Source organism: Homo sapiens, chromosome 3 (genome assembly GCF_000001405.40).
Source record: "Homo sapiens chromosome 3, GRCh38.p14 Primary Assembly".
Classification (NCBI taxonomy): Eukaryota; Metazoa; Chordata; class Mammalia; order Primates; family Hominidae; genus Homo; species Homo sapiens.
In genome coordinates this window covers 37,726,251-37,739,290 of record NC_000003.12, presented here as the reverse complement: position 1 = coordinate 37,739,290, position 13,040 = coordinate 37,726,251, and the positions used below count along the sequence as shown (strand labels likewise).

Below are 13,040 nucleotides of genomic sequence, written 5' to 3'. Positions count from 1 at the left end.
TATTATTGAAGCTACAGATCCTAGGGCTTCCTGAAGCTATGCAGCACTGTTAATGTACATAGGGGGTGTTCTTGAATTTAGTAGGTTACTGTCATTTTCTCATGTGCCCAGCATTTAGCACTGCAACTGGTAAATATAAGGTGCACAATAAATATTTACTGAGTGAAAATGTGCCCAGCACAGAGTAAGGGATTATAAATAGTGGTTCTTAGCCTTGGCTGCTCATTAGAATCATTTGGTGAGCCCTTCTGAAAACTCCATTGCCCAGGTCTCACCCCAGGCAGAGGCAGGGTCAGGGTCTCTGGGGATAGATCAGGCATCGATATTTTTGAAAGCTCCCCAGGCGATTCTAATATGCATCCAAAACCAGAGCACTGCTGCTGTGTGGACATGTTATTCTAACAAATGAACCTTTCACAATTGCAATACTGGTTCCCTGCCCTCTCTGACTGTTATGATTAGCCCTGAATTAGGTGGAGGCAGGAAGTGTCTTCTATTTTGACAAGGGAAATCTCTTCCATGTCACATTCCTTCCCAGGCATACAGGCTGCCTCAGGTGTGGAAGGACCAAGAGAGCACATTGATGGGTCTGCCCAACAATGGCGAGTGTTCTGTGGATCCAAGAAATGGCAAGAGAATGAGAATTTTCAGGTTTGAATGGGCATCTGCCGCCCCTTATCAAATTCATCAACCTCATGCTCTGGGGCCAAGCTGTTGCACTGTGCCACTCCCCTTTTCAAAAACTTTCAGTGGCTCCTCAGTGCCATCAGGATATAGTTCAGATTTTCTAGGTGACCTTTGTCCCCCATGGTTTAGCGCCCAGGCTCCTCTTTCAGCCCCATTCCCACTGTGCTTGTGTGCTCCCCATCCTTCTTCTGAGAAGGTGCACGAATCCCCAGTACACTCTCGTGCCCACCACCTACACAGGTGTAACAGGGCTTCTTGCCCCATGGACAGCCTCACTGCCGTGCCCATGTTGCTTCAGCCTGAAAACAGACTCCTCTGTTTAAATGCTACCTCCCCACTGAAGCCCTTCTGGATTTTGTGCAATGGGAATGAAGTCTACCCTATCTATGCTTTGCATAGGCTTCTATTAGATCACAGTCATGTTTTATGTGATGTAAATTATGTGATCTTGAAAATAGTGTCAATAGAAAATAACCAAGTCTTGTGGACCAGTAAAAAGAAGCGGCTAAAAAGACATTATTGGGATAACTGGCATAATCAGAACATAAACTGCGGATTAGCTAATAGCATAGTGTCAATGTTCAATTTCCTGAATGTGATAACTATACTACAGTTTATTAAGAGAACAGCCTCATTCTTGGGAATGCACACTGAAGTATTTATGAATCAAGAGGCATGATTTCTGCAACTTTCACATGGTTAACAAAAAAAATTATATAGAAAGAGGATGATAAAATAGATGAGGCAAAATGTTAACACTGGGTGAATCTGGGTAAAGGGTATATAGGAGTTCCTTGCACTATTCTTGTAAGACTTCTGTTAAGTTTAAGATCATTTCCAAGTGAAAATGAAAAGGTTGCCTTGGGTGTCCAACCACCACCCCAATCAAAGCTTGTGTCTCCCTGTTCACCCACCTGAACGCCCCTCCCTCCACTGGAGCTGCCAGCCAAGTGCTACCTAGATGCTGCTTCAAGGCATGCTGGATCTGCCCTGGAGAAGGCATCTTGTAACTCCCCAGAAGCCCCCACAGGCACTCATGGCTATCCTGGAGAGGGGCGGGCACATGCTACTGAGGGGAGAAGCTGCCACCCCACGATCCCCTTTCCTATCCATCCACTTGGCTTCCAAATTAAGCCCTCTCTTGAGTAGCATCTCTTGGGGCCTCTGCCAACAGGCTCAGCCAGGCCCTCAGGCTGCAGGTGACCTGCCCACTCCATCAAGGGATACAGCACCATGTCCAAAAGCAGCAGTGGGCCCAGCCAGACAATTTGCAGAGGACATCTGTCTGATCTGGGAAATACACAGCCAAGTGGGAACTGACCTTGGACTAGAGCCTCACCCCCCTGGGCCTGTCTCTCCTCAGCTGTAGAATCATCACCTCTGAGTGGCTGATGCCCAGTTCCTCTCAGTTCAATCTGCAGTGGCGGCTATGCAAGCAGCACTAGGCAACCACCATCCCCAAGAAATCCAATTCCACTTTGCGGCTCAAGGCTTTATCACTGAGTAACCATTTCTTCCTCCTCAGCATCCTGGGATTCATCAAAGCTTAACCAGGACACATCCTTTCCTGGTCCCATAAATCTCTCATCTTTGAAAAAAGTGTTTAAACCCCCCCCTTACCTCTGAGCAGTAACAATGAAGCTGAGAACTTCCTCTTCCCCAGACAGGTGGCTTGTATCAAAGATCACGCTGAATTCATACTAGTGAAAAAGGAAGTGGTATTTGGCATCAGCAGGCATTCCAAACTTAAACTGTTCTCTTCCATCTTCTGCAGTTTATGACCTCTGGAAGCTCATTTGCATGATAAGCTTTAGTTTTATGTATAGCTTTCTGACTGTCAGGCCAAAGTCACAGCTTTAACAGTAAAACCAAGCCTGACACATACTCTGGCCAGAGACCTGCTGCTCCTGTTCCGCCACCGAGGCTCTCCTTAGGAAGTGATGCGTTTACACTCTTTAACCGGGACTTTCTAAGTTTCACTCACATACCATCTTTTCAATTTCTGCCACATCTGCAAATTACATCACCTGGGATATTTGTTCATATTTTTGTTGCCTTACTCTTTTAGTTTAAAGATTGTTTTAAAAGAACAATTTATATCACTGTCATAGATGGGAATCCAGGATCACTTGCCAAAAAGAGAAGGTAGTTGTAAAAATGAACACAATGAAAACAGAGCAATGCTGAACTCTGTTGCCTTTGGAAGCCTCTGAGCCTAAGGTCTACTCCATCTTTGTTGAAAAGGGAGATTTGCTGGTGATAGAGAAGTGTTAAAGATGTGCTAGCAGGATTGGAGACGTTCTCCTGAGTGTGGCTAGGATTGGAAGACTATTGAAAAGTCTTATGCGCTGAATGTTTGTGTCCCCCCGCCACTCCTCAAATTAATATGTGGAAGGCCTAACCCCCCTATGTGATGGTATGTGGAGATGGGGTCTTTGGAAGGTACTTAGGTTTAGATGAGGGTGAGGCCTTCATGATGGAATTAGTGCACTCAGAAGAAGAGAAGACAAAGAGATCTCTCTCTCTCCATGCACACACACCAAGGGAAAGCCAGATGGGCACACATAGAGAAGGTTCTGTTTATGAACCAGGAAGAGAACTCTCGCCAGGAACTGAATCTGCCGGGACCATGACCTTGAACTTCTCAGCCTTAAGAACTGTGAGAAATACATGTCTGTTGTTTAAACCACCCAGCCCAGGGTAATTTGTTATAGATGACTGAACTGACTAAGGTGAAAAGGGTCACTGTTAGGGTCAATGTTGTTCAGTGCTGCGTCCACGTATCACCCACGATAATTTCATGAACCATCTAAAATTATCTAGTGTACCACTTAGTGGTGAACATCCTGTGAGTAGGGGGCACTGCCCTAAGTAAATGGTGTTCACCATATACATGTCAGGCATGTGTGAGAATGTGGGAGGAACCCTTGGGTAGGGGTCACAGGACCAGGTTCCACCACAAACTGACTGTGATCTTGGCTAAGATACTGTCTTTGCATTTCAATAAAAAAAGGAGGTTGGACAAAACGGTTCTTAAATTTCATCAAATTTTGAGAGCCTATAACTTATACAATGTCTAAACCTTTGGGTTCCATTATGGTGAATTCTAGGCAATGGTCTAATATTTGCAACACTGAATTCTACTGAATGTTTCCTGAAAGCAACGGACATTGGTCCATTACAATGGACCATCATCTACAGTGAACATGGACATCTCTTTCTAGACAGAAATTTCTGTTGCTGTGGGACTGGTCAGCTTACTGTGGGGTGGGGGGCAGGCATGGAGACAGGGCGGGAAGAGGACAAGAAGGAAGAGAGAGGCAGGGTCTTGACTGGTGTAGAGTCAGCACTGGGAGGAGATCTGAATTAAATTAAAAACATTAAAGAGCACAGTGAGATGACAGGCAAAAGAATTGGGTGAGAAGCCAAAATCAGGGATGGAGGCCTGGAAGAACAGAATGTCAGAAACTGGGCAGGCTGTGAGAGAGAGAAATACATGGCCATCCAAGGTAAGCCAAAGTATAGCCATGAGGCTTAGCATGTGGCCTGGAGCCTGAGGACCCTCAGGGTTGGAAGGACATGGGAGTGCACGCTGGGCTGCGGATACGGGGAGCCCCGTCTCTGCTGGGTGACTTGTTGGGCTTTCTCCAGGGAATCACCCTCTGCTCCCATGCCCCCCAATCCCCAGGTTTAGTCAGTCTTGCTTCAGGTCCCAGCATCTGTATGTGGGAGGAAAGTGGTAGCATTACCAGCTGGGAAAACAACCAACATTCCAATGTTCATACTTCTGTGGGCTCTATCTAATAAATGTTGGCTGGGCACGGTGGCTCACGCCTGTAATCCCAGCACTTTGGGAGACCTAGGTGGGCAGATCACTTGAGGTCAGGAGTTCAAGACCAGCCTGGCCAACACAGTGAAACCTGTCTCTACTAAAAACACACAAAAAATTAGCTGGGCATGGTGGTGGGCACCTGTAATCCCAGCTACCAGGGAGGCTGAGGCAGGAGAATCCCTTGAACCTGGGAGGCGGAGGTTGCAGTGAGCCAAGATTGCGCCACTGCACTCCAGCCTGGGCGACAGAGAGAGACTCCCTCTCAAACAAACAAAAATTTGACAAAATGTAACACTCCACTAGAGAGAGAAAGACACATCTTAGGTCTGATATGTGATATAGGCTGGAGTTTAAAATGAAATGGAAACTGTTGCAAGTTTTCCAGTTAAGCCTATTATCTGTTACTCAAAAGATTTTAATTAAATTTGTGTGCAGATGTGCCACATACATTACTATAGGCAATAGTGTCCATGGATTGTGGTCGTCCTCCTTTATCTCCACCCTCACCCTACCTGGAGTCTAATGGGACTTGGCCTGTACTCTGCCATCCACATGTAATCCATTTTCCAAGGGCAGACACTTATTGAGGTTTCCCTCCTCCTGGGGTGAATGTGGACAGAATGAGGAAGAGAGGCAGAAAAAAATCCGAGGAGTCATGGGCCACTTGGCCACTTGGCCACTGTGGTTTCGCCAAGATCACACAGTTTGTGGTAGAGCCTGGTCCTATAACCCCTACCCAGGGGTTCCTCCCACATTCCCACACGTGCCTGATATGTATATGGTGAACACCATTTGTTTGGGGCAGTGTTACCCAAATCACAGGATGTTCACACTGGGAGTGGTACACTAAGATTATTTTAGGTGGTTCATGAGATTATCTTGGGTGATATGTGAACACAGCACTGAACAACATTGACCCTAACAGTGAGAAAGTTATTACCTTTTTGCCCTAGTCAGTTTGGGATTCTATCACAAATTACCCTAGCTTGGGTGGTTTAAACATTTATTTCTCACAGTTCTGAAGGCTGGAAAGTCCAAGATCGAGGTGCATTCAATGGGGCTTATGGGTTCAAGTGATTTGCTAAGAAATGACCAAGTCTTCTCCCTCACCAGAATATTCTCACCATTGGTTTACAAATAGCTACTAGATACTGGGACCAAAGAGCCTTGGAGATTAAAATGATCTGAGTGTATGACCCAGGCAGGAGAAAAGGATGAAGCTTTCACTTTTTTTTTTTTTTTTTTTTTTTTTTTTTGTGAGACGGAGTCTCACTCTGTTCATGGCAGGGAAAATAGCTTCCATTTCCAAAGGCAGACTTGGTCTTTTAGATTCTAGTTTTGCCTCCAATCACCACATCTTTTTACCTATGTTTGTATCTCCTTATAATGATGGCACATACTACAATGTTCCATGAATGTCTGAAGATGCTGTAGTATACTATTTGAACTTAGAAAATCTGTCTCCATACCAATACCAAAGTGACTTAATTTCTTTACTCTTCTTAAAAATGAAGTGGGATACAGGTATTTATGTTTTGAGAATTTTGAGAGTTCTCTTCAGAAAACTGTGAGCACCCAAGGGAATGACAGGACTATAGGTGACAGACCACATCTTCTTCTGTGTTGTCTAGGGGACTCAAAGAGGCACAGAATGTCTCAGAAAAAAAATTATTTTAGGAAGGTCAACTAAATGGCACGTGCTAAAGTGCAGAGGCTGTGGTGTGTCCTTCACTTTCACATTTGGGGTACATCATGTGAATCGAAGAGAAAGACCATATGATGCAGCCCCTCCGGAGTATACCCCGGTGTACACAGCCAGGGACAGGAGCATGTCAGGGCTTCAGTGGCCGCCCCAGCTGCTATGGGAGGCAGGGGGTGGGAGGACTCCTCACCTCAGGGAGGCGGCGGAATCAGTGGCTGGTGGAAGGGCTGGGGGCCTGCTGCTGAGGAAGGGTCCCGTCTGTGTCCCTTACCTTTGACTTTGACCTCATGAAAGGAAATCCCACGCTGCATTTGAGGAAGTCCGATTCCAGCAGCTCACAGGAGATGCCCATCTCCTCCTGAAAGAAAAAGCACCAACAGATGGGCCGGCTGCACAAAAGGCAGGTGTGTGGGAGCAGGCTCCACGGGGCAATCGAGTCCTTCAGAGCAGTGCTCAGACGGTAGGCACCAGTGGGACGAGATGCCCTGACCAGGCCGTCTCCAGCCCCCTTCCAGCTGCCCACTTTTTCATGGGTTCCCTGGGAAGACAGGTAAGAGGACAAAACCACTCTTCATTCCTAACTAATGCTTTGGGTTCAAACCCTAGGGCAGTCCTGGTGAGGTGGGCTGGGCCATGGCTGAGCTGGAGACCTCCTAAGGTTTGGATGAAAAGGCAACCCTGTCATCTTCTTGGCCCCTTTCTCCTAAGCCCACACCCTAATCCTGCCTTTTCAGATCTTGGTGGTTCAGGAAAGACAAACTCTAAGAAAATCACACCAAGAAAAGAGAGGGTTTCTTCCTAAAGCCTGAAGCAGTGAGGGCTGGGCTGTCCACCAGCAAGTCTCCCCAGGGTGTGGGGAGGGTACAAGGGTGAGGAGAGGTTTCCAAGTGTAGCCAGCTTAGGCTGGACTCTGCACACAGCGACTTGAGAGAAACAGAAGAGAAAGGCTGTAGGGAACTGCTGTCTTTCCACCTGGGCACATGGCTTCCAACCAAGGTCAAAGGAAAGCCAAGAGGCTCTTCACAAACCACAGGGCTTCTCAGAGTCACTGAAAGCAAATCAAGACTGCCAAGCGGAAACAGTATGTTTACAGATTTTGGAAGAGAAGGTACAGAGGTCCTCCAATTTCCAGGACTCACATCTCAGCTCAGACTAACATTTCAAGGCATCTAGACAGGTGGATGAAAAACATTTTTATTTTGTGTCCAACTGGTAAAAACATGTGAGCATTTACCATAATATATCTACTTAAATTATCCAATTATACATATCTTATTATTCTAATATATTATGAACATTATCAAATGCACCAAAAATAAAGGTGATAAAAGGTAAATAATCTATGGGGCTAGAAATCAAGACAGTAATTATGGAATAAGTGGAAGGCAGTTCTGAGTGCAGGTTACACAGGTTTGATCATTTTGTGAAAGTTCATTGAGCTGGGAACTTAATAACTTGTATATTTTTGTTTGTTTGTTAAACATCAATACACTCTTACTTAGAAAATAGCAATGAAACAAAACCCCTAAAAGCCCAAATACAATTAAACAAAAGATAAGAGATATATAAATATAAAACTAAACTCTAATATATCTTTTCAGCATCCAGTCTCGGATATAACTGATCTCAATGATGATTAGTTTTCTAACATCTCTCTGTGCTCTTAGCCAGTGTTATTCACACAGAGACCCAGGATCGCCAGCGTTAGTATCACCTTGGGAGCCTCTTTAAGGTTGAGGCAGGAGAATGGCGTGAACCCGGGAGGCGGAGCTTGCAGTGAGCAGAGATGGTGCCACTGCACTCCAGCCTGGGCGAGAGTGCGAGACTCCGTCTAAAAAATAAATAAATAAATAAAATGCAGATTCCTGGGCCACACTCTAATTGCACAGCATGAGTCTTTTCTGAGTAGACACAGAGACTGCAGGGTCTGGGATGAGCATTTTTAATACATAAAATTATTGAGTGATAAAATTAGTGATTCTGCCGGATAATGATGTTTGGTAGCTGCTGCTATGAGCTTTCCTTCCCCTTCAGTCCATTTGGCTGGCTGCCAGAGGAAGCTTCTTAAAATATGTCTGTCCCCACTGCAAACAGAATAAAGTCTCAAATCTTAAGATCCCAGCTTCCATTTTGGCCCATCCTGTTCTGTTGTGGTTCTTCCACCCCTGCCCCGTGGCACGTATATGCTACTATTCTACACACACCCTGCCTGCTCTTATGTTCACACCTCTGTTTAAGTTGTCCTCACTGTCAAGGAGCACCTTTCCTTAGCCCTTCCCCCAAGGTTTTCTTCCTCTGTCTTGTCCCCAAACACTCATGGATGGCAAGCTCATGTATGTAACATGCAAATGGCACAGGATTCAGAACGCGCCCTGAGCATGCACTGGGTAGCTGAGTTGTCGTATCACACACCACATTTCAGCACTGAGAGAACATATCTGAGAGATGTTAATCGCTGTCCTCGTAGAGCTCAGAGTTCAGAAGAGGTGGGGACCTCCCAGCAGAGACATAGGTGTTTACATAGCTGTGTGATGGCAAGTGTGAGGGCTGCTCTTAGAACCTAGAGAACAGGCATTGGCAATTTCAATAAGGAAAACCAGAGAATAATTTCTCAAATGCTGTCTCAAGAACTGCATGGCATTAATGATTCACCATAGATGGCCTTTCCCTACCATCTTCTTCCTCATATTCCTCCTGCCAGAAGCAACACCCACAACTGTCCCAAGTAGACACTACCCTAAATCCTGGCTAATTGGCCTGTGGACATCAGAGGCAGCAAGCCAAAGTCTTGGATGACTTTAGTTCTCTTGGTTTCCTGGGGACGGTCCTGGTTCATTTCTGTCATTCTGGTATAATTAGTCTCAAGAGTGTCCCAGGATAAGCAAATATATATAAGTGTATGTGTGTGTGTGTATCTCACACATACACATATACATATATTACATGCTTACCTAACTCTGTTTCCAGTTTCTCTTGTAATGCCCAATACCTCACTGGGAATTCCTTTCAAACCAGGAGAGAAGCTTTAATTTTAAGTCAAAGGTCTGTTCTTGAAGTAAAGATTTATTGGCTGGGCGCTGTGGCTCATGCCTGTAATCCCAGCACTCTGGGAGGCCGAGGCAGGCGGTTCACGAGGTCAAGAAATTGAGACCATCCTGGCCAACATGGTGAAACCCTGTTTCTACTACAAATATAAAAATTAGCTGGGTGTGGTGGTGCATGCCTGTAGTCCCAGCTACTCAGAAGGCTGCGGCAGGAGAATCACTTGAACCTGGGAGGTGGAGGTTGCAGTGAGCCGAGATCGCACCACTGCACTCCAGCCTGGTGACAGAGCAAGACTCTGTCTCAAAAAAAAAAAAAAAAAAAAAAGAAATCAAAAAGATTTATTGCCCCAAAGACTTCTTCAGTTTTTGCATGTGTGAAATAAATGTCTTCAAAAATGTACTCTGGAACTCGAGGAAACCTCAGTTTAATTAGCTTTGACCTAAGACAACAGTACTTTTGATCATTCAAAAGCTGCTCAGCTACCTTATTTTTGTTAATTCCCAAATGCTAGAACGTAACATTTATATCAGCATTTATTTAACTATTTCTGGTCTCTCTTCCACCTTACTCAGTCAAATAAAAATTTCAAAATTCTGGTTGGATCTTGGTGAGGACAGGCCAAAAGAGTAAACCAAAGACATCATCTCTAGGAACAAGAGAGCTGAGCTTATGGTTCATGACTCATGTGCTCCGGGATGGTGTTACAGGAAGGGATGTCATGGATTACCCTTCTGCTGCCTGTCAGCACCAACATAGCTGTTTATACTGGCCATGTCAACTGCCCTGACCAAATGTTTTTAATTCTATACCCCTCTCTTCTACTACTGTGATTTCCAAGGAGGCCCAGAGGTGTATCAGAGCATGGGCTTTGGCAAGCAGTACCACTCCTTGTGTGGATGCTGGTGGTGCTCCACTCAGAACCCCTTACTAGATAAGTACAACAGCTTGAATGGAGTCGCTTTGCCTGGGAGGTTATGACACCTTCCCCAAAAGCATTCCGTAGCCTCTGATTGATGTGGGTACCCAAGGATGTCCCCTTTGCCTCAAGACAAGACCAACTCTGTTGTACAATTAATGTTCCAGAGCTCCCATAGGACTGGGTGAAGCAGACTCCAGCTGAGCCCACATGCCTGTTTGGTTTCTTCCCCTCCTCATTCTGCTCCCTTCGCTCCTCTTGCCCCAATAAATCCCCTTCATGAGAGTCCATCTCGGGTGCTGCTTCTGATGAACCTGAACTCAGATAATACTCTTCCCTTATGAGGCTGCTGGCACCGAGAACCACTTGGAAAGTCCTAGGCATTTGCTCCCAGGTGGGGAGAGGCAACAAAAGGAGGATGAGGAGAAAGCTCACGTGTTTATGATTCTTGTTTAAATCCATACTAAGGAAGAGAAAACAGTCCTGACTGCAGTTTATAAAGGTTGCAAGGCTTCCCCCATTAGGGGAGCACTTCATTCAAGGCAACACCAGTACCCACTTTGTTCTCCTGGTTTCAGATCATGCCCAGGGCATAACCTTAAAAAGCAGAGTCATCATGGAGCCACATGTCTTCTTGGCAGCCAGGCAGGCACCCAAGAGTCACAGACATACCCACAAGGTAATTCTTTAAATAAAAATAAAATCCCATGTTTAAAATGGATTCAATTTAAAAAATCAATTCAATTAAAAATACAAATTTTGGGGAGATATGGCTAATCTAAGCTGTCCCCAGCTCTAAGCAACATGTCAGTGGAGAGCGCTCTGGTTGGGAGTTGCCTATGACTTCTGCCAGGCACTTGGTATCCACCAGGATGCATATGGGAGAGATTCCAGGGACCAGGCTTCTTCTGTGCTCTGATTGCTTCCAAGTTCCAATCATTGCCTACACTGGCTTTAACTTAGAGAACTTAACATTAGCATTTATCAAGGCTGATGGTTATGAGACTCTTAGCTGACTGGGAACGCGGACCAGTGAGCAAACTGTCTATCTAATGTCCCTGACTGCTAGTGCAGACATCTGATTATCTGACTACAATACAATGCAAATCAAATACAGAGTGAAGCAGAAATCTTGCTCTAAAAGATGCAGACTTTCATGAAATCAATGAAAGTGATGTTGAAAAATGGATAAAACCACTGCAAAACCACTGATAAATCTGGATCTGGCAGAGTTAGATCAGTTAACTGTTGAAGGAGTCAAAATTCTCCTGGATACTACTTTAAGATGCTTCAGAAGACAAAGATTTAAATAAAAAAGATCAAGAGAAGCCCTTAGAAAAAAGTGACCATTGTTAAAATGATCCTTTTGTGATTGTACCGAAAACCAGACAAAATATGAAGCAAAGGATGTTATCTTATGAAATAGTAGGAAAATTCACATTCAAAAGCTGCCTATCCAGCACTCAATTCCTTCTTTTGTTTCAGAAGTTAGGGCACTGTTATTTTAAAGACTCTAATAAAGCAAATAATCTTTTGCCTTTGGTCTAAGATATCTTTGACAATTATAATTACAATGTTTTGAGTGCCACTGAATAAATGCAGGATAAAATAAACCTAATTTCGTAATTTTCAGTTTCACATTTCAGGCAAAGTCTCAATCAAAACTTTTAAAATACATTTTTATTATAAAATTTTAGACCCTATTTTAAGAGGATTCACATAACTGGCCTTTTCCCCAGTCCCACTTTTCCTTGTCTGGCAAAGACGTTCAATATTCTCAGGGTTTCTTGCTGAAGATTACAGAAGATTCAATTAAAAATTTCTACTACCATACAGATAGTCCCTGACTTATGATGGTTCTACTTAAGATTTTTCAACTTTCTGATGGTGTAAAAACAATAGGTATTCAGTGGAAAGTGGTAGAAAGCTGTACAATACTCTCAAGATGCTGGCCAGCGCAGCGAGCTGTAGCACCTCGTCAGCCACATCATCACCAGGGTAAACAATCGATACTCTATGGAGGGCTGTGTTGCCAGATGATTCTGCCCAACTGTAGGTTAATGGAACTGTTCTAAGCATGTTTAAGTAGGCTAGGCTAAGCTATGATGTTTCGTAGGCTGAGTGTATTAAATGCATTTTCAACTTATGATATTTTCAACTAACTATGGGTTTATCAGGACATAACCCCAACATAGTTCAAGGAGCATCTGCACATTACTCTCAGGATCAGGAAATCATCAGTTAACATTTTTAAAAACACAGTGATGAAAAGCACACTTGATTTATGCGTACTCATTTCCGTATTCTCAGTGTCTGGCACCGAGCCTGGCACTTAGTAGCTCCTGAGTCTGCATTTATTAAATGAATAGGCCTTGGCTTATGGGAGATGCCAAAGAAGGGGCTGCAAGAAGCAGCTCATTTGCTGGTCTGCCTGGCACAAGAGATGCTTGTCTTGGCAAAGACCTTCTCTCATCCAGACATACCTTGCCTGTCCCAGCCCCGGAAGCTTGGCCAGTAGACCCAGGCTACAGCCCTGTTTGTAACGTGCAGTGGTTGGAAGAATCGAATAATGAAATTAGTGAGCCTCTTTGGCCTTCGGGCTCCTTCCTCCCAATCATACAAGCATTTGATGTCAGTCTAGACTCTGGCCTTACTTGACCACGAATATGGTGCTCTTTGGGAACAGAATATCTTTGTGGTCAGTGACCTGCTTATGCTCAATGCTAGGTAGAGTTTGAAGTCTCACTTCCAACTTTCTAGTTCTGACATGTGTTTGTTAAACTGAAGATGACCCTGGTGTCTCCATATCTGACTGTCAGTCTGGCAATTTGTGTTCCTCTAAGACCCTTTCCTTCTTC

General features: G+C 44.6%; 1 protein-coding gene across 1 annotated transcript in view; it reads right to left on the bottom strand.

Moving 5' to 3' along the window:
* Nucleotides 1-13,040, bottom strand: part of ITGA9 (integrin subunit alpha 9) — a 371,367-nt gene that overhangs the window by 84,217 nt on the left and 274,110 nt on the right. The window contains exons 19-20 of the mRNA NM_002207.3: nucleotides 6,493-6,579; nucleotides 2,308-2,387 (exon numbers count right to left, since the gene is read on the bottom strand). Coding sequence (NP_002198.2) covers nucleotides 2,308-2,387; nucleotides 6,493-6,579 — 167 coding nt within the window. The remainder of the gene's footprint in view (nucleotides 1-2,307; nucleotides 2,388-6,492; nucleotides 6,580-13,040) is intronic.